Raw genomic sequence first — 22,307 nt, forward strand, 5'->3', positions numbered from 1 at the left:
TCTACTAAATACCGCATTGTTAAACAGGATTTGAGGAGTTTTGTTCGTTTGTTTTTTGTTTTTTGAGACGGAGTCTTGCTCTTGTTGCCCAGGCTGGAGTGCGATGGCGTGATCTTGGTTAACTGCAACCTCCGCCTCCCGGGTTCAAGCAATTCTCCTGCCTCAGCCTCCCAAGTAGCTGGGATTACAGATGCGCGCCACCATACTGGGCTAATTTTTGTATTTTTAGTAGAGATGGGGTTTCACCATGTTGGCTAGGCTGGCCTTGAACGCCTGACCTCGTGATCCCCCCCGCCTCAGCCTCCCAAAGTGCTGGGATTACAGGTGTGAGCCACCGCACCTGGCCGGAAGTTTTAAATGTACCCCTGTGTGGCAGACAGTGCTGGGTACCTCCCCTGTAACCATCCATTCCCATTTCTTCCCTTTCTCAAGAGCTCCAATTTAGTTTGGAGTTGCATAGTACCCAATTAAAAACACCCAATTCCAGGCCAGGCACGGTGGCTCATGGCTGTAATCCTAGCACTTTGGGAGGCTGAGGCAGGCGGATCACTTGTCAGGAGTTCAAGACCAGCCTGGCCAACATGGCAAAACCCCATCTCTACTAAAAATACAAAAATTAGCCAGGCGTGGTGGCACGTGCCTATAGTCCTAGCTACATGGGAGGCTGAGGCAGGAGAATCATTTGAACCCAGGACACAGAGGTTGCAGTGAGCCAAGATGGTGCCACTGCACTCCACCTGGGCAACGGAGCAAGACTCTGTCTCAAACAAACACACACCCGTAATTCCAGAGTCCCTTACAGCTGGGGGTGGTCACACTACATGGTTCTGGATATGATATGTATCCAGAATGCTGATGAGAAGGTCCTCCCTTCCAAAATAAAACAGGGAACTTCGAGAAGATGGCTTTTCATGCTTTTTCATTCTTCCTGTCTGGCGCACTGATGCAATGTCTGTGGGGATAGCAGCCACCTTATAACTATGCCAATGAAACCACAAATAAAAAAATGAGATGAGAGAAAGACAGGAGTCTGGGAGACTGGTGGTATTCTGAGCCTACCGCGCTGCACAGCCCTGCTGACCTCTGCACATTTTGCTGGACACAATAAACTAATGTGTATTTTAGGTGCTGGCATCCATGCATTTTCATACTTGTAACCAAGCACCATGCTAAACCATACAACACAGAATAGAAAAAAATAACTGTTTAAGGAACTGGGGAAAATATTGGTTAAAATAATCCAGGGATAATAGTAACCCAGAAGAAGGCAAAGGTAGTCTTATCTTTCTGAAATTTGGCCTCAAGGAGTATGGAAACCAAAACCAAGAGGAACTTTCTCAATGCAACTACTCGTACTACTATTAATTTTACTACTACTAATAAAGATAATAATACACACTAGCAGCAAAGCCAGCTTACATTTTTAAAGTGCTTACCATGTACCAGGCACTCTCCTAAGCACTCCACATCTTAAATTATTGAATCCTAAGAGCAACCTTCACAATTATTATCTTTATTTCACAAATGAAGATATTGAGATAGAGAGAGCTTAAATGATTTGTGAGGATCAAAGAGCCAAAATTTCAACCTAGGATGCCTTACTACAAGGCCTGCTGTGTGAACCAAATTTTATGAAATTCTCTTAATATGCGATATAATATCACTTCATCTTTGGTAAAAATTCTGCTCAAATCTTCTATTTTTAAAAATTGGTTGATTATCATCCTAATATCAAGTATCTATTTGCTTTTTACAGTTAAAACAGTAACATTGCTGCCAGGCGTGGTGGCTCATGCCTGTAATCCCAGCACTTTGGGAGGCTGAGGTAGGTGGATCATTTGAGGTCAGGAGTTCGAGACCAGCTTGGCCAGCATGGTGAAATCCCGTCACTACTAAAAATACAAAAATTAGCTGGGCGTGGTAGCGGGTGCCTGTAATCCCAGCTACTCGGGGGGGCTGAGGTAGGAGAATCGCTTGAACCCGGGAGGCGGATGTTGCAGTGAGCAGAGATCCTGCCACTGCACTCCAACCTGGGCGACAGACTGAGAGACTGAGACTCTGTCTCAAACAAAACAAAACGAAACAAAACACAACCCAAAAAACAGTAACATTGCTGAACAGTCCAAAGAAACAAAGCGGAAGGAAGCAATGGCATGGCATCTTCAAAGAGCAGACAGAAAATAACTTCTAACCTAGAATTCTGGATCCAAGGAAAATATCCTTCCCACATGAAAGTGATATACAAACTTTTTTTTTTTTTTTTGAGAGGGAGTCTCACTCTGTTGGCCAGGCTGGAGTATGGTGGCACAACCTCTGCCTCCCGGGTTCAAGCGATTCTCCTGCCTCAGCCTCCTGAGTAGCTGGGACTACAGGCACATGCCACCACGCCTGGCTAATTTTTTGCTTTTTTAGTAGAGATGGACTTTCACTGTGTTAGCCAGGATGGTCTTGATCTCCTGACTTTGTGATCCACCTGCCTTGGCCACCCAAAGTGCTGGGATTACAGGTGTGAGCCACCACACCCGGCCCAAACATTTTTGAATGAACAAAAAATTGAAAAATTCATTGCCAGCCTACCCACTCTAAAGGAAATATTAAAGATTGTCCTCCAGGCAGAGGGAAAATTAAGCCAGATAAAAACTTGCTTAGAGATGTAGAAAGAAATTAAGAACAAGGCCGGGTGTGGTGGCTCACGCCTATAATCCTAGCACTTTGGGAGGCTGAGGTGGGCGGATCACCTAAGGTCAGGAGTTCGAAACCAGCCTGGCCAACATGGCGAAACCCCATCTCTACTAAAAATACAAAAAATTAGCCGGGCATGGTGGTGGGCGCCTGTAATCCCAGCTACTTGGGAGGCTGAAGCAGGAGAATTGTTTGAACCCAGGAGACAGATGTGGCAGTGAGCTGAGATCTCACCACTGCACTCCAGCCTGGGTGACAGAGCGAGACTCCATCAAAGAGAAGAAAGAAAGAAAGAAAAAGAAAGAAAGAAAGAAAGAAAGAATATGTAGGTAAATCTAAATGAATAGTAACTATATAAAACCTTATAAAACTGTAAATAATGTCTTGTGGGGATACTTATTATTATATATTAGAAAATACGTTTTCAGATACATACAGTCACTATAGTTGCTTGTAGGGATATATAATATTATTACATATTAGCAAATATATATTATACATATAGTCATTAAGCTTAGACATTGGCAAGAGGTACTTTTCCCTGGGCCCTGAACTCTGGCCTTATTTCAGCCATGCCCTACCTTACAGGATGAGGAATCCAGGGGGCCCAGGGAACATGCCCACCTGGAGCCTTTATCACTCCATCTGGAGCACAGTTAGGTATCTGAGACCTCAGAATTTCCCACTCAAAATGATCTGATTATTCTTCCCGGCTTGTGTGGGCCCTTTCCCTGGCTCCTTCCTTCCAAGGGCAAACCACACTGCCAGCACCTAGCACCTAGGAGTGGACACGTGGAGGCTGTTTGTAGCCAGTGTCTGCAGAGTTGGGTTGTCCATACGCACATGCATGAGGCCCTCACAGTGTTAGAGCTGGAAGTGGGAAGAGAAGGATGACTGAGCATCAGGTACCAGAGGCTATCTCTCTTGTGCCATACCATTTTAGCACAGAACTACAGAGAGCTCTAAATTAGAATTTAGAATTTGAATTTGGCCCTTCAAGTTGTCATGAAGGATTATTGGTAAATGTAGAAAATAGCACCCATTTTATTCAATAGTTTGTTAGCTTGGTTTATTCTTTAAACTATCTAGATATATGGTGTGTAGGTCTCCATCTGTACTCTTTGTCTGAGCCCCAAAATTGGTTACGGGGCAGGTCTCTCTACATAGAATTAAAATATACAAAAACAGCCAGGCACAGTGGCTCACGCCTGTAATCCCAGCACTTTGGAAGGCTGAGGTGGACGGATCATGAGGTCAGGAGTTTGAGACCAGCCCGGCCAATATGGTGAAACCCCATCTCTACTAAAAATACAAAAATTAGCCAGGTGTGGTGGCACGCGCCTGTAGTCCTAGCTACTTGGGAGGCTGAGACAGAAGAACTGCTTGAACCTGGGAGATGGAAGTTGCAGTGAGCCGAGATTGCGCCACTGCACTCCAGCATGAGTGACAGAGTGAGACTCCATCTCAAAAAAAAAAGATATATATGCGCGTGCACACACACACACACACACACACAAACAATAGTCCATAATTTGGAATGGTGATAAATGGAGTTAAAGGGTCCTAAGGCAGTAGCATGTCTGAGATGAGGTAAAAGCACTAGTATACAATGTTTTCTTCTAAGTTAAAGATGTTTGAGGCTGGGCATGGTGGCTCACGCCTGTAATACCAACACTTTGGGAGGCCGGGGGGGAGGATCACCTGAGGTCACAAGTTCAAGACCAGCCTGACCAACATGGAGAAACCCTGTCTCTACTAAAAATACAAAATTAGCTGGACCTAGTGGCACATGCCTGTAATCCCAGCTACTTAGGAGGCTGAGACAGGAAATTCGCTTGAACCTGGGAGGCGGAGGTTGCAGTGAGCCAAGATTGCACCATCACACTCCAACCTGGGCATCAACAGCAAAAAAAAAAAAAAAAAGATGTTTGTTGTAATATCTAAGGTATCCACTAAAATAATAGGCCGATAATGTATAGTTAACAAGCATTGAAGAAGGAAAATAAATTAAAAAGTAAACAAATCCAAAAACTGGCAAGAAAAATTGAGATAGTTAAGGCGAGAAAAACAGAAAGCAAGTAATAAGATGTTTAAATGGTGTATATCAATAACTAAATTAAGTGCAAATGGAATAAATGCCTCAGTTAAAAGCCAAAAATTGGCCAGGAGTGGTGGCTCACACCTGTAATCTCAGCATTTTGGAAGGCTGAGGGAGCAGGATTGCTTAAGGCCAGGAGTTTGAGACCAGCCTGGGCAACATAGTGAAACCTTATCTCTATGAAAAATTAAAAAAAATTAGCTGGGCACAGTGGCATGCACCTGTAGTCCCAGCTACTCAGGAAGTTGAGGCAGGAGGATCATTTGAGCCCAGGAGTTCAAGGCTGAGTGAGCTATGGTTGCACCACTGCACTCCAGCCTGGGTGACAGAGTAGGACTTCATCTCTGTCTTAAAAAAAAAAAAAGCCAAAGGTTCTAAGTCTGGATTAAAAAATCTCCAACAGGCTGGGCGTGGTGGCTCATGCCTATAATCCCAGCACTTTGGGAGGCTGAGGGGGGTGGATAATGAGGTCAGGAGTTTGAGACCAGCCTGAGCAACATGGTGAAACCCCGTCTCTACTAAAAATATAAAAATTAGCTGGGTGGGGTGGTGTGCTCCTGTGATCCCAGCTACTCAGGAGGCTGAGGCAGGAGAATCGCTTGAACCCGGGAGGAGGAGGTTGCAGTGAGCCAAGATCACGTCACTGCAATCCAGCCTGGGTGACAGAGTGAGACTCCATCTCAAAAAAAAAAAAAAGGAAAAAAAAGAAAAGAAAAACAACAACAACATGCTGTTTACCGGAGACATTACCTAAATATAAGAATACAAAAAAGTTCAATGTAAAAGAATAGAAAAGGTACAGCATATAAACATCAACTAAGAGAAAGTTGATATGCCCGTATTAATATAAACAAAGTCAATGTTAAGAAGCATCATTAGAGGTAAAGATTATTTATTAATCATAAAAGTTTTCATTCATCCAGAAGCTATAACATTTTCAGAGTCTTATAAATGACACAATAAAATTAATAGAAATGAAAGTAAAAGTAGAGGCTCCTTGAATGAGAATGGGGACTTTTTAACACACTCCTTGTCTGATAACTGATAAACAAAAATCAGTAGACCTGTTGAAGATTTGAACAACGTGATTAACAAATTTGACATAATTGATATAGATAAAAAAGCTATACTCATCTGGGCATGGTGACTCATGCCTGTAATCCCAGCACTTTGGGAGGCCGAGGCGGGTGGATCACCTGAGGTCAGGAGTTTGAGACCAGCCTGGCCAACATGGTGAAACCCCGTCTCTACTAAAAATACAAAATTAGCCGGATGTGGTGGCACATGCCTGTAATCCCACCTACTTGGGCAGCTGAGGCAGGAGAATTACTTGAACCCAGGAGGTGGAGGTTGCAGTGAGCCGTTATCGTGTCATTGCACTCCAGCCTGGGCGACAAGAGCGAAACTCTCAAAACAAACAAACAAACAAACAAACACCTATAATCAGTAATTGTGACATATACATTCTATTCAAGTACACTTGAAATTTTACCAAAATTAACTATATATCAGACCATAAAGCATACTTCATCAGATGGAAATTATACAAAATATGTTCCCTGACCACAGTGGAATCAAGTTAGAAATCAATAACAAAAGGATTCAATAGAGCAAAAGCATTAAGGTAAGGATATGTATCACAGATAGTAGCAAGGGGCCCAGGGCACCAGGCCCAGGCTTTGACTGTTCTCTCCCTGTAAGGACTCTATTAGACACACGTTTCTTCTCCAGGAACAAAACATGGATGAATCTTACAAAAGAATCCATACTGTATGATTCCATTTGTATAAAAATAGGCAAAACTAATCTATGGTAAATATTGATTATCTTTGGAAGGGAGGGATGGAGTAATGATTAAGAGAGGGCCAGAGAGGGGCGTACTGGCAGAATTCTGATTCATGCCCTGGGTAGTGATTCCATAGGTGCATTCAGCTTGTTATAATTCATCAAGCTTGTGATTTGCTGTATAACATTATACTTCAAAAAAGTTATTTAAAAATGAAGCAAACACCTACAAGTTCACAATACTTTTTTTTTTTTTTTTTTTTTTTGAGGCGAAGTCTCATTCTGTTGCTCAGGCTGGAGTGCAGTGATGCGATCTTGGCTCACTGCTAACTCTGCCTCCTGGGTTCAAGCAATTGGTCCTGCCTCAGCCTCCGGAGTAGCTGGGATTAATAGCCAGCACACCACCACATCTGGCTAATTTTTTATTTTTATTTTTATTTTTTATTTTAGTAGAGACGGGGTTTCTGCCATGTGGGCCGGGCTGGTATTGAACTCCTGCCCTCAAGCAATCTACCCGCCTTGGCCTCCCAAAGTGCTGAGATTACAGGTGTGAGCCACCATGCCCAGCCACAATGCTATTTTAAAAGAGAGAAGGAAAGAAATACTTATTTGGCAACCTTTTGAAGTAACTAGAACATCAACTCCTTAATTTAAAAATTGACAACTAACAGGAAAAACATAAGCAGTTAACCTGCTTTCTTGTAGATTGTATTTCAGTGTAAAGTAAATAACTTTAGTTGATGAGGAAAAGTTTTTCTTTACAAATAATTTCCAACTAATAAATGTGGAATTAATGGCAGAATTAGATAATCACCAACGAGTAACCACTAATGAAATAATTCAGGCAAAGGTCATAATATGAGTTATCTATTGCTGTGTAACAGATTACTTCAGAATGTTGCAGCTTAAAACAACAAACATTTATCATCTCACAGTTTTTGTGGGTTAGGAATCAGGGCATGGCTTAACATGGTGTCCTGGTTCAGTCTTTCAACACTACAACCAAATGTCAACGAGGGCTGCGGTCATCTCAAGACTTGAGTTGGGGAGGATTCACCTACAAGCTTACTCATGGGGTTGCTGGCAGATTTCAAGTTCTTGCTGGCTGTTAGCCAGAAACAGCAGGTACTTGCCACATGGGCTTCTCCATAGGGCATCTCCCAAGATGGCAGCTGGCTTCTCTAAGAGCTAGCAGTGAAGAAGAGAGCAAGAGAAGATGCCCAAGGTGGAATCCACAGTTTTTTGGTAGCTTATTATTGAAGTGACATCGCATCACCTCTGCTGCACTCTATTCTGGAAGTCTTAAGTCCAGACTAGAGTCAAGATAAGGAGATTACATACACAGAAAGTCAATACCAGAAGGCGGCGATCACAGGGAACCTCTTAGAGGCTGCTATAAAAGTTGATCATACAAATTGGATTGTTCTTGTCATACCGAACTAAATGAGAGTTGAGGGGCCAGGAGAAAAAGCACCAAGACACATAACATTGCTCCAGGAATGTCATTCTCTGCAAGCCTGGATGCTGAAACGACCTGGTATAACCTAAAACCAGTTGTATCTAATGGCTACTGGAACAACCTGCTTAGACTCTAAGACTAGTTTTAGCCACCATGGTCACTCACCAATTAGAGCTTGCCAGTTCCCCAGAACTTTGCTAGTGCCAGTGAACTTTCTTTTAGAACAATATGTAACATTTCTTCTTTTTATAAAACCTGCAACCTTCTCTTTGTTCTTTGGACATACTGAAGACCACCTGGTGTGTGTGTGTGTTTATGACTCAAATTGCAATTCTTGCTTCCCAAATAAAATGTCTTAAATTTAGATATTTGTTTCTATATTTTATTTGACTTCAACATTGCCTACCATCATCATCAAAGGATGGAAGCTATTAGATGAAAAGTTGATGGGGACTTTATAAAACAGAGGCATCAGACTGTCATCACCTGAATCCTTTACTCAACTTTAAACTCACTAAAAGAACAATAGACATTATTTGCCTTGTACTGTGAAGCAATCTGAAGTACATAGCACCACCTAATGAGGTACTTTTTCCAAAAAGAGGTGAGCTCAAAACCAATCAAGTCTTTAACAGACATCCATTTTATAAGAAATAAATCTATCAGTTTATTTCTAAATAAATATATATGATAGAAGAACAAGTTAAAGGACACCATGAGGATACAAATCTAGAAGGTGGGACCTTCTACATGTCAATGGACCTATTTCTTCAGTAAGTCAATTGCATGAAAAAAATGAGGACTTGCTCTAGACTAAAAGAGTCTTAAGAGACTTAACAATCAAATGCAATCTTTAGATCTTGCTTGGATACTGATTCAAACAAACCAATTAGAAGAAGATAATTTTATAATAAGGTGACTTTGAATATAGATACAAAGGTGGTACTAAGGAATTATTATCTTTTAGTAAATAATGCATTGTAGCTATGAAAGAAAATGTCCATATTTTTCTGAGATGCAAACAAAAGTAACAACTGAGACATGGGGTCTAAGATTTGCTTTAAAGTACTTCAGCAGACACAACAAACACAACAAAAGGAACAGATAAAACAGATGTGGTAAAATCTTAATAACTGTTGAATCTAGATTATGGATATATGCAAATTCATTGTAGAATCCTATTCATTTTTATGAGTGTTTAAACATTTTCATAAAAACAAGAAAAGATAGCAGGAGTGGATGGTTTTATACCTGAGTTCTAGCTAGACTTCAATATTTCTAATATTGTTTAAATATCTGTGATCTTAAAAAAGATGAAAAACTCCCCAATTCATTTTATAAAGCTAGCATAACTTTTAATAAACTTTTTTGTTTTGTTTTGTTTAAGAGACAGGGTCTCACTTTGTTGCCTAGATCGAAGTACAGTGGCATGATCATAGCTCATTGTACCTTCAATCTTCCGGGCTCAAGAAATTCTCCTGCCTCAGCCTCTCAAGTAGCTAGGACTACAGGTGCACACCACCACCCCCAACTAATTTTTGTAACTTTTTTTTCTTTTTTTTTTTTGAGATGGAGTCTTGCTCTGTTACCAGGCTGGAGTGCAGTGGCACGATCTCTGCTCACTGCAACCTCCACCTCCCAGGTTCAAGCAATCCTCCTGTCTCAGCCCCCCGAGTAGCTGGGACTACAGGCACACGCCACCATGCCCGGCTAATTTTTTTTTTGTATTTTAATAGAGATGGGGTTTCACCACATTGGCCAGGCTGGTCTCGATCTCCTGACCTTGTGATCCACCCGCCTTGGCCTCCCAAAGTGCTGGGATTACAGGCGTGAGCCACCATGCCCAGCCATAACATTATTTTTTTAGAGGCAGGGTCTCACCACATTGCTCAGGCTGTTCTTGAACTCCTGGTCTCAAGTGATCCTCTTGCCTTTGCCTCCTCAATACCTGGGATTACAGGAGTGAAGCACTGTGCTTGGCTCTAAAACCTTTTTTTTTTTTTGAAATATAATATGCATGGAGAAAAATTAATAGTTGTGTGTAGCTTGAATAACTTTTGCATACTGAACACATCTGTGCAAAAAGATTAAAAACTAGAACACTGTGTGCACCCCAGATACCCACCCCATGCTCATTTTAGACAGTATCTTCTGCTGAAGATAGTCACGTGCTGAAGCCAGCACAATTTTTTTTTTTTTTTTTTTTAAGCTGGAGTCTCACTCTATCGCCAAGGCTGGAGTGCAATGTTATGATCTGGGCTCACTGCAACCTCTGCCTCCAGAGTTCAAGCGATTCTCCTGCCTCAGCTTTCTGAGTAGCTGGGATTACAAGCACACGCCACCACACCCAGCTAATTTTTGTATTTTTAGTAGAGATGGGGGTTTCCCCATGTTGGTCAGGCTGGTCTCGAACTCCTGACCTCAAGTGATCTGCCTGCCTTGGCCTCCCAAAGTGCAGGGATTACAGGTATGAGCCACAGCATAAACTTTAATACCAAAATCTGGTTTTAAAAAATAGTGCAAAAAGTGGAGACTACAGAATAATTTCATTTATATGGAGACGACTTTTAAAAATAGCATATTAGGAAACAGGATCCGGAAATGTATTTTAATATCTACACAATCATACACACATATATTGTTAACAATTTGCTTGCCATTATTTCTTGCATTCCCTCTGGGTTCTTACTAAAATACATACTTTATTAGTAGTTTTTTTTAAGCAAGGGATTATGGATAGTAAACATTTTTAGGCCCATGTATTTTTTAACATTTTTATTTTACCCCCTACTCCTCAGAGAGAGTTTGGCTGCTTATAGAATTACAGACAGCTATTTTCCTTCAGCATTGTAAGTATATGACACTATTGTCCTCTGACCTCTATTGTTAATGAGCATTCTATTGTCAATTTGTCATTTCTTTGTATGTAATCCATCTCTCTTTCGTAGATTATATTTTCCTTTACTGCTTAGTGGTCCATAGTTTTGCTACAGTATTTCTGGGTATAGATTTATTTTCAATATCTTGCTAATCAGTCTGAGATTTTTCAGTTCAAGGTCTCATGTGTTTCTTGAGATTTTTCTGTCATTTTATTTTCACATATCACTTAATTTCCATTCTCCTATTTTTTTTCTGCTAATTCCATCGTATACATTTCTGAACTTCTCATTCTACCGTCCAATACTCTTATTTTTCTGTCTTACAGTGCTATGATCTCTAAGCTTTTCAATGCTGTCTTCCAACTTGTTAGCCCTCTCTCTTCAGATATATCCAGGCTACCACTGGGATAATTATCAAGGGTTATTATTATAATTTTCAATGACTATATCTTTCATTTCCAAGATTTCCAATTTGTTCTTTTACAAATCTTTCTGTTCTTATTTCATGGATGCTGTTTCCTTCTTTGTCACTGGACAGTTAATAGATTATATTTAAGTTCTCATATTGATCTCTATATGCTCAGATGTTAATTTGTTTGTTGAATGTACCAAATACTTTATGATGATGAACTTCCTTGTGTGCTTAAAATTCCTTAAAAAGCTATGCTTGCTTGAGTGTTCTTCAGTTACACCTTTTCTTTTCATATGACCTATATTTGCTTTAGCCCTGGTCCAAATGGGTTGCACCGTCCAAACCACTTCTCACGTTAGCAGATTAAATCGGACCTTTTGCTCTGTATTAACGGCTTAATTTTACAATATACCTTCATGTGTGTTGTACACACTCACTTCAGATGTTCTATTGGGTACTTGGCTTCTTTACTTTTTGTGTATTAAATCAATGCTCTCAAAAGCAAAAATCTACGTCCAAAATATTTTAATACACTACATATTCCATTTAAGAGAATAACTTCCTTCATTTTGATAATCAATTTGAGGATAAATGACCAAAGACTTGCGAACTATAGGGGGGAAAATAACGTCAGGCATGTCCTGGCTCTCTACAAATCTCTTCTCAGTGTTGTATTTTATGTCTCCGAATGAAATTGCAGTAGTGCGCCTCCACTTCGCAAGCCCCTTAAAATATCTCCATTCCAGATCCCTTAGATTCATGAATTGTTTTCCTGAAAAGAATCATATTTTCAAAGAATCACATGGTGTTGTTACTCAGCCTTTCATTACTCAGAGATGCTTCATGGACAGGGTAAACCTTTGATGAACTCGAGTCCCCTCTTTCTGGCAGAAAGCCATTTCTAAAGCTTTATTTTTAATTTTTATTTATTTATTTATTTTGAGACGGAGTTTTGCTCTTGTTGCCCAGGCTGGAGTGCAATGGTGCGATATCGGCTCATCACAACCTCCGCCTCCCGGGTTCAAATGATTCTCCTGCCTCAGCCTCCTGAGTAGCTGGGATGACAGGCACCCGCCACCACACCCGGTTACTTTTTTTGTATTTTTAGTAGAGACGGGGTTTCACCATGTTGGCCAGGCTAGTCTCAAACTCCTGACCTCAGGTGATCCACCCGCCTCAGACTCCCAAAATACTGGGATTACAGAAGTGATCCACTGTACCCGGCCTAAAGCTTTATAAACTTAAGGGAGACCCTGTGATGTCAATTTCATGTAAAGCCTGCCCCTAAACAGCAATTGAGTGGGTCTGGCTAACTGGGCTTGAGTGGACCCTGCAGAGCCCCGGCAGGTGGACGGAGTATTTCATTCTGTGCTTGGATCCTAACAGAATGTGCAAATGGAGAGCTCTGCAGAGCACCGAAAGCAGCAGGGAGGAGAAAAGGATCCAAAAACAGGGAGGAAGATGGGTTAGAAGTGCACAGATTGTTAGTGTCATTTCTTCCAAGATGCTAATGTAAGCCCTAAGTATAAAAGGGCAGTGGCTGAGCTAGAATCTGGCCATTCTCCATACTCATTCAGAAACCACAAGCTTGAGGTGTCATTAGCAGTTACAATTCCTTCAAGTAGCCAATGAGCCAAGGAGAAAGAATCAAGCAAAGACACAGCACATGTTCTCCCCACCAGCAGCGATTCCCCTCTCCCTTCTCTTCCACCCTTTTCATGGCTAAATAACGCTGAAAACAACAACAAATCAAGGCTAAAGGCATGGGTTGGAGTGTAAAACCAGGAGCCAACGGGCCACGGGAACAAGTATAAGGAGAATTATGGTCACAGCAGACAAGCAGGATGACTGGTCTATTTCTGGTGGGTGACCTTACTGTCCCACATGTGGTGACATTTGAGCATGTCACCTGTAGTCCAAAGACTGAGCAGGCACCACTCCACTCCAATCAGTCCTCCATCCCTGTACTGGGAGGGCCTGGGCCTGCCTGGTGGGAAGTCTTTATATAGACTTTGTACATGTCTGAAGTAGAAGACAGGTGCCAGAGACTCTTCGTTGGGCTCATACCTCCCCAAGTAGAACAGATACTGCCATGGTGTTCAGCAGTCCATTCATAAGGCCAGTTGCCAAGTTTCAGGGAGTTTGACAAGATCTTTGGAGGCCTGGCATAGCAAGAAGTGGTGGCAAAAGGAAGGAAGGGGATCTTTAACAAGAGAAGGTTTAGAGCTGATGATTTTGATGACTAAAGAGCCTCATGTCCCAAACTCCTGACCTCAGGTGACCCACCTACCTCGGCCTCCCAAAATGACCAGCCTGGCCAACAGGGAGAAACCTGGTCCTACCAAAAATACAAAAAATTAGCTGGGCTTGGTGGCGGGCACCTGTCATCACAGCTACTCCGGAGGCTGATGCAGGAGAATCACTTGAACCTGGGAGGCGGAGGTTGCAGTGAGCCGAGATCGTGCTGCTGCACTCCAGCCTGGGTGACAGAGCAAGACTCTGTCAAAAATAAATAATAAAAAAAGAAGCTTCACGTCATGATCTCTGACAGACACTTTAGGTTGGCTTACTCCACACGCATTGCAATCCTCTTCTGCCTTCCTCTGCTATAGAGGGGGGAGCTAAGAACTCTTATTCACCAGCCTTCCCTACAGGAAGGGGTGATGATTGGACACAATTCTGGCCAAGAAGATGTAGAAAGAAATCACTTAAGGAGAGGTGTTCTGGAAAATCGTTGCTTCCGTATTAAAAGAGGACAGAAGTGTCAATGTGGCTCTTCATCCTATCCCACCTTTTCCTGACTGGAATGTGGCCACAGCCTCCGAGGGTGAAGATGTCTTTTGGACATGAAAACAAAAGCTACACACAAAAAAATGGCAGAGCCCAGGTCCTTGGAGACATTTGAAAGCATCGCTCCACAGAGAGTGGAATCACGGTCACCAGAGACAGAGTAGGGAGTGGGAGGGGAGGATGGAGAGAGATAAGTCAATGGGTTCAGAGTTATAATTAGAAGCCCTGCATAGTGGCATGCACCTGTAGTCCCAGCTACTGGGGAGGCTGAAGGAGAAAGATTCCTTGAGCTCAGGAGTTTGAGGCCAACCTGGGCAACATAGCAAGATACCATCTCAAAAAAATGTAAAATGGGCCAGGACCAGTGGCTCACGCCTGTAATCCCAGCACTTTGGGAGGCCAAGGCAGGCAGATCACTTGAGCTCAGAAGTTCAAGACCAGCCTGGGCAATATGATGAAACCCCATCTCTACAAAAAATACAAAAATTAGCCAGTTGTGGTGGCATGCACCTGAGGTCCCAGCTACTTGAGAGGCTGAGATAGGAGGATTGCTTGAGCCCAGAAGGTTGAGGCTGCAGTGAGCTGAGATTGTGCCACTGCACTCCAACCTGGGTGACAGTGTCTCAAAAAAAAAAAATTAAAATTGAAGTAAATAAATAATTGAGAACAAAGTTACAGTTAGATAAGAGGAATAAATTCTGGTGTTCTATTGCACAGTAAGGTGAGGATAGTTAACAATAAGATATGGTATCTTACAAAATAGCTAGAAGGAAGGCTTTTCAAAGTCATCACCACAAAGAAATGGTAAGTGCATGAGGTCAGGATAAATACACAGATTCGATCACTATATAACACTATTGAAACATATATTGTACTCCATATATATGTACAATGACAATGTGTTCATTAAATAAATAGAGACATAAAAAGCACTGGGAGGCTGAGGCAGGCGGATCACGAGGTCAGGAGATTGAGACTATCCTGGCTAATACGGTAAAACCCCGTCTCTACTAAAAATACAAAAAAAAAAAAAAAAAATTAGCTGGGCTTGGTGGTGGGCACCTGTAGTCCCAGCTACATGGGAGAGGCTGAGGCAGGAGAATTGCTTGAACCTGGGAGGCAGAGGTAGCAGTGAGCCAAGATTGTGCCACTGCACTCCAGCCTGGGCAACAGAGCGAGACTCCGTCTCAAAAAAAAAAAAAAAAAAAAGCATTGTTCCGGCCCTTGTCTGCGTACCCCTAGACTTCTAATTATGTAAGAAAAATAACCACTATTTGGTTTTCTGTTATTTTTGATTCCTAAGCTATATGATTCTATGGGATTTAGCCTGAACAAGAGGAGCTCATACGATAGAAGAGCAAAACGGCAACACCCACTCTCTTTTCCTCCCCCGGTGCTTGGTGCCAGTAGGAATATGTTCTTTAGTATACTTTGGAATACCAGGATCCTAAAGTTCTTCTGGACTGAGTAGGAGAGTAGAAGATGAATTGTTGCAATACTAATTACCCCTAAGGGATTACTGGATACCCTTCACTTAGATTCCTGCCTGACTCCATGCACTTTCTTTTTCTTTCTTTCTTTCCTTTCTTTCTTTCCTTCCTTCCTTCCTTCCTTCTTTCTTTCCTTCTTTCTTTCGTTTCTTTCTTTCTCTCTCTCTCTCTCCTTCCTTCCTTCCTTCCTTCCTTCCTTCCTTCCTCTCTTTCTCTCTTTCTTTCTTTCTTTTTTGAGACGGAGTCTCACTCTGTTGCCCAGGCTGGAGTGTAGTGGCGCGATCTTGGCTCACCACAACCTCTGCCTCCTGGGTTCAAGCGATTCTCCTGCCTCAGCCTCCCAAGTAGCTGGGATTACAGGTGCCCGCCGCAACGCCCAGCTAATTTTTTTGTATTTTTAGTAGAGACGGGGTTTCACCATGTTGTCCAGACAGGGTTTCACCATGTTGTCCAGGCTGGTCTTGAACTCCTGACCTCAGGTGATCCACCCGCCTTGGCCTGCCAAAGTGCTGGGATTATAGGCGTGAGCCACCATGCCCAGCCAGCATATTTCTTGAATAGACATGACATGTACCAGAAATTTACCTCTGGGATCTCAGGAAATGAAGATATGGAGGCAGAGAAGAGACTCCAACACAGTTTGTGAGACCACATCAGAGACCTCCAGAAGTTAGGTAACCAGCAGGTAATTCATGCATTAGGAAGAAAGAAAAACTTGGCCCGTATACATGTGAAAGTCATAAATGTTCAAGACCTTATCAAACATCCAAAACCCTTCTTCAGTAGGTTTTTGATTAGTTCTTCTTACTGAGTCTCAACACTTTTCATGATTTTTCCTCTCTGGTCCCAGGCTTTACTTGTGTACTTTGCGAATTATCTAGGCCAGTCCTATCATTGCTTTAATTGCACTGCTACTTAGGCAACGTAGGACTCTATGAAAGGATTTCGAAGCCTGCATTTGGCTCTGTTAAGATGTCAATGTAGGGAGTTACAGCAAAAGCTCTTCCAACTCTTTGGACCAAATATACTCACAGTAATCAATCTATTCCTTTAAATTTGCTCCTTCTGCCTCTCCCATTACTTTTTTTTTTCTTCTTTGAGACAGAGTTTTGCTCTGTTCCCCAGGCTGGAGTGCAGTGGCACAATCTTGACTCACTGCAACCTCTGCCTCCTGGGTTCAAGTTATCCTCTCACCTCAGCCTCCCGAGTAGCTGGGACTACCGGTGCATGCTACCACACCTGGCTAATTTTTAAAATTTTTTTGTAGAGTCGGGGTTTTGCCATATTGCCCCGTCCCACTACTTTTAATATAAAAATGGTGGTGTTAAAATATTTGCTGTGAAAATGGTCTTATCTTGAATCAAGAAACTGCTTCAGAGGGTTATCACAAATTGATGTAATCTATTAAAAAATGACAAAATATTACCTCTCTCAAATTATATAAGATGGAGACTTAAAGTGTAAGACACTCCCTTCTCATTAAAATTCAGCATCATAAGTTTCATGGTTTTTTGTTTGTTTGTTTGTTTGTTTGTTTTTTGAGACAGAGTTTTGTCCTCGTGGCCCAGGCTTGAGCACAATGGTGCGATCTCTGCTCACTGCAATCTCCACCTCCTGGGTTCAGGCAATTCTCCTGCCTCAGCCTCCCAAGTAGCTGGGATTATAGGCACCCACCACCACGCCCAGCTAATTTTTTGTATTTTTAGTAGAGACCATGTTTCACCATGTTGGCCAGGCTGGTCCCGAACTCCTGACCTCAGGTGATCTGCCCGCCTCGGTCTCCCAAAGTGCTGGGATTACAGGCATGAGCCACCATGCCTGGCCCAACAATATATCTTTTTAAGAGTGAATCTGAGACTTGATCCTGGAATTCTGGGTTCTCTGTTCTGCATTTTATTTTTATTTTTACTTATTCATTTTTTAGAGACAGGGTCTTGCTCTGTTGCCAAGGCTGAAATGCAGTGGTGTGATCATAGTTCACTGCCACCTCAAACACATGTGCTCAAGTGATCCTCCCACCTAAACCTCTCGGGTAGCCGAGATTACAGGCACATGCCACCAAGCTCAGCTAATTTTTATTTATTTATTTATTTATTTATTTATTTTTGGAGATGGGGTCTTTCTATGTTTTCCAGGCTTGTTCATTTTATTGACACTGTATAAAGCAAACATATTAATAGCAGCCATGAACCTCAGAACTACAAAATTGCTGTAGGTCAGTATTGGACCATTTCTGCTCTAGTAAATTTGCAATGAGATTTCCATTCCTTTTCTCCCACATGGCCTCATCTGTTTAAATTACCTGGGTCAACTAAGAAGGATCTACAAAGTTTATCTTCAGAAATGAACTTTTCTGGGGTGGCACTGGAAATGCCTAAGCTGCATAAGATTTTGGGGCTTGGAACCTTCTGTACGGTAACTTGGGCCAAGGCATTCGAGTGATCGGTGAGAATTTCATAAGGAAAAGTGTGCTTGGGAGGGGAGATCCCACACTGTGACAGCCTCTGCTGGGACCTGGAGAGCCTCTCCATGGGAGAGAGTGAGCTTGCCAGTAAGCTGCGGTAGAGGAGCTCAATCATGGATGCTTGCTTCTCTTTTTTAACCACTGTGCACCTGATAACAGGTTGGAGATCTCCTCTCACATCAGCGCCCCTGGTGAATGACATGACATTCAGGTTTCTAGCAAGTACTTCCTGTGCTTCGTTAAGTGAAATACCATGCATTTTTAGAAGATTTGATTTCTTGCTCTCCTTATTAAAATTCTCAATACATGCATATAATTCTGGAAGCTGTGGACAAAAAAAAAAGTGGTAAGTCACGAGACTGACAAAAATGTAATATTCTGGCAGACCTACAAACCCTAGAAAAAACCATAGGACAATAAATAACCATAAAGACAAAAGCATTTTTATCTTTGGAAGATATCTTTGCCTAACTAAAGCAAGTCAATTGTGGCAATGTGGAATAGAGAACAGAGAGGTCAAATCTCCGATTCACTCCCTTAAAGATGTATTATTTAGACACGTCTTATAAATGCTTGTTATAAAATTAGGCAGTTAGAATTGAACTAAGAAGTCTTGAAGATCTTTCCAACTCTGAAATTCTATGAGTGACCACGGAGAGAAATAGCTGTGGGAGACTGTGGCCTTTGCTTGTTTTGAACAATGCTATTATGTCTTTGAAGGAAGAAAGCGAGCCAGATCACTTAGATATCAGAGCTTCATCCTGTTGTCCAAAGAGCCCATAATGTTCAGGAATCCAGTGCTGAGGAGGCGACAATAGTCATTGCTCACTGGGATATGTGACCAGAGCAAATGGTGACATACATTGAGTATCTGGGAATAGTTATTGGCAGAAAAAAACAGTAACAGATCCCTGAGAGGACCTGTCCCCATCTAAAATCCTATACTTCCTACAAATCCTATCCTTTCTAAGAGGTTTCTTAGGCCATTACACTGGAAGGCCAAAGAGGCCATAGTCTCAGGTTAGGGCTGAAATTTAGGTCCTTTAGCCCAATGCAGAGTTTTCCTTCAATCCTAGTCAATTTTATTGCAAGGGCAACAAATAGAAAGTGAGCTAACGCGTGGGAAAGTAGAAGGGACTTTGGACGTCTTCCAGAATGTCAAGAGTCTGCGGCTACAGAGGCTACACAAGTGGTCCAGACCCTGGAACCAGTATGAGCTCTGCTACAAGGTGGTGCAGGAATATATGGATGCATTCTCAGTTACGCCAACTTCAAGTAAGAGGCGACAAGGGCCCGTGGACCAGGAGGATTGCTTTTAATATTTTATAATAGTCTGTTTTGTTAGTTTACCCCAAATTGTGTATCTGTCTTGTAACTGTTTTAGAAATTGGTACATAGGTGGAGATTTTATAAGTAAATGTGTTAGCACTGATAGTCTTTTTTTCCAGTGTTTTTTTGGGGAGTTAAATAGTGTGATGTTTGGACCGATATCATGAAATCTTTAGCCTGGAAATTGGGCTGGATTGTTCTCTGGTTAATACATCTTTTCCTAAAGAAAAAAAAAAAAAAGAAAGTGTGCTAACATTGGTGAATGGCTCTTTATAACGAATTATACAACCACACTATCACGAAAACAGCTCAGCACTTCTGCCCACCTGCCCTGGGAAGAGCTACACTTCTCTGTGACTAAGAATGTTAAGTCATTAAAGTGACATTTTGGAGTTTCCCATGGCTCCCAAGTGTGTCACTGTGCGTTCAATAGTTTGAATGTTTATGATTCTTGAATGTAAAGCTCCCTGTGTACACCTCGTTGTACAATGTTAAGTACATACTGAACATTGAGGAAGGGTGGCTTCTCTATTGTCCTCAGCTGGACTGGTGTCTCCAGTGAGGAACATCGTGCTGGGATTTTATTCTCTAATTCCTAAAAAAAGCAATATGAGAAAAGACAAAAATCAAAGATTAAAAATCAGATAGAATACAAAGGGGGAGGTGAGACTTCTTAAATCTTAATAAATTTGTGAGTGGGACATTTTGAAAATTTTATACCTGTATTAGTCCATTCTTGAATTGCTCTAAAGAAATATCTGAAACTGGGTAATTTATAAGAAAATAGGTTTAATTGGCTCATGGTTCTGCACACAGTCCAGGAAGCATGGTTGGGGAGGCCTCAGGAAACTTACAATTATTGGGGGAAGGCAAAGGAGAAGCAGGGCACGTCTTACATGGCCAGGACAGGAGAAAGAAAGAGCAAAGGGGGAAGTGCTATACACTTTTAAACAACCGGGTCTCATGAGAACTCACAATCATGAGAACAGCAAGGGGAAATCCTCCCCCATGATCCAGTCACCTCCCACCAGGCCCCACCTCCAACACTGGGGATAACAATTTGATGTGAGATTTGGGTGGGGACACAAATCCAAAGCATATCAATACAATTTAAACTTTTCATTTGCTTTTTCGTAGTTTAGGTCTGCCAAATTTGTCATGCTTCAACTGAGCATTTCACTGAAATACCCAAATTCTTCTACAACATGTGTATTTAGTTTTAATACTAGTGTAACAAATCCTATATGGATGGTTTTATTTTTTATTTTATGTATTTATTTTTTTGAGATGAAGTTTCACTCTTGTTGCCCATGCTGGAGTGCAATGGCACGATCTTGGCTCACTGCAACCTCTGCATCCCGGGTTCAAGCAATTCTCCTGCCTTAGCCTCCCAAGTAGCTGGGATTACAGGCATGTGCCACCACACCTGGCTGATTTTGTATTTTTAGTAGAGACAGGGTTTCACCGTGTTGGTCAGGCTGGTCTTGAACTCCTGACCTCAGGTGATCCACCCACCTCGGCCTCCCAAAATGCTGGGATTACAGGTGTGGGCCACCACGCCCAGCTGGATAGTTTTATTTTCTTGTCTTACATATTCTGATCAACTTTCAGTTCATCTAAAGAAAAACTCACCCACCTCCTTACACTCAAAAAGTGTTTTTTATTCAGGAGGAAAAGGCTCATATGTAATGATAATAATAAAAACAATAAATATTTTGAAAATAATTTACTTTGTGTCAGATACACTATAAGGCATTTTGCAGATGGAATTGTGTTTAATTTTTCTGCAAGACGTTAAAAATGGCCATGGAATCTCCACAATTCATCTCATTGATAAGTGGCAGTTAAGTTCTCTCCCACATTTTACTGGGCTGGCCTATGCTTGGCTTTGATCAATAGCTTGTGGCATTGTGTCAGTGACATAGTGTGAGTGCCAGAACCCAGACCTTAAGAGGCTTTGCGGCTTTCCTACACATTCTTGGGAGCCTGAGCCACCATGTAAAGAGAGATCTGGCTGCCTATCTGGAGAGACCATGCAGACTCAGCAGCCAGTATTGACCACTAGACATGTAGATAAAGCCATCTTGGTTCACCCAGCCCCAGACGAGCCTCCAGATAACTACAGCAGCATAAGCAACCTCAGCCAATCCCAGATGGAGAAGAACTACCTCCCAGCTGAGCAAGGCAACTCTAAAATTTTGACAAAGAGTAAATTATTATTGTTTCAAACCACTAAGCTTTGCATGAATTGTTATATAGCAATAAATACAGATAAACCCCATAAAACTTCACATTCTTGGCTTAATTTATTCCAGTGAAACCCTTATTGGTAGGTAAGAGAATATATGGATGGAAAATATATTTCTAGGTACAGGGTACCACTGTATCATGACTGGCAGCTGTGGTCACTGGGATGAGTGTCTGAGATGAACCAAAAACACTCACTTGGTATTTGGAATGAAGTGAAAACAATTATGTTTCTCTTCCTTCCTGAGTAAAGTAGAAAAACCCAGAATGGATACACACACACACAAAAACACACACACACACATACACAAACATGGATATATATATATATATACATGTATGTATATGCATATATACATATATATATAAAATCTCAAATACATTTTTGTCACTATTTGTCACTACTGAGATCACTATATTGATATACAGGACTAGAAAAGCAATACAGTGCAGCATGCCTGCCACAGACCTGTTTATCTCTAGGCAATTACAATGAGACTTGATTGTGCTTTCCTCCTGCAAAGGAAGGAAATTTTTTCTGCAAAGGAAAATATTTCTCTAATGTGCTTTACCTAAAACCTGTCAATGTCTTCCAGTCAATCATTGCTATTGTCTTTCAGACAGCTTCAGAGTTGTCCACCATAGGAAGGTTGCCTTCTCCCATCACCAAGG

At 41.7% G+C, this 22,307-nt stretch overlaps 1 protein-coding gene across 3 annotated transcripts in view; it reads right to left on the reverse strand.

Moving 5' to 3' along the window:
• Positions 1-10,618: 10,618 nt before the first annotated feature.
• C9orf153 (chromosome 9 open reading frame 153) overlaps positions 10,619-22,307 on the reverse strand; it is a 39,393-nt gene continuing 27,704 nt past the window's right edge. For all 3 annotated transcript variants that reach the window (NM_001276366.4, NM_001276367.4, NM_001276368.4), the window contains 3 exons: positions 19,892-19,983; positions 18,209-18,384; positions 10,619-12,087 (listed from right to left, as the gene is read on the reverse strand). In NM_001276366.4, the coding sequence (NP_001263295.1) occupies positions 12,042-12,087; positions 18,209-18,384; positions 19,892-19,957 (288 nt within the window). In that variant the 5' untranslated portion in view covers positions 19,958-19,983 and the 3' untranslated portion in view covers positions 10,619-12,041. The remainder of the gene's footprint in view (positions 12,088-18,208; positions 18,385-19,891; positions 19,984-22,307) is intronic.

The sequence above is a fragment of the Homo sapiens genome, chromosome 9 (assembly GCF_000001405.40).
Source record: "Homo sapiens chromosome 9, GRCh38.p14 Primary Assembly".
In the NCBI taxonomy this organism is placed as follows: Eukaryota; Metazoa; Chordata; class Mammalia; order Primates; family Hominidae; genus Homo; species Homo sapiens.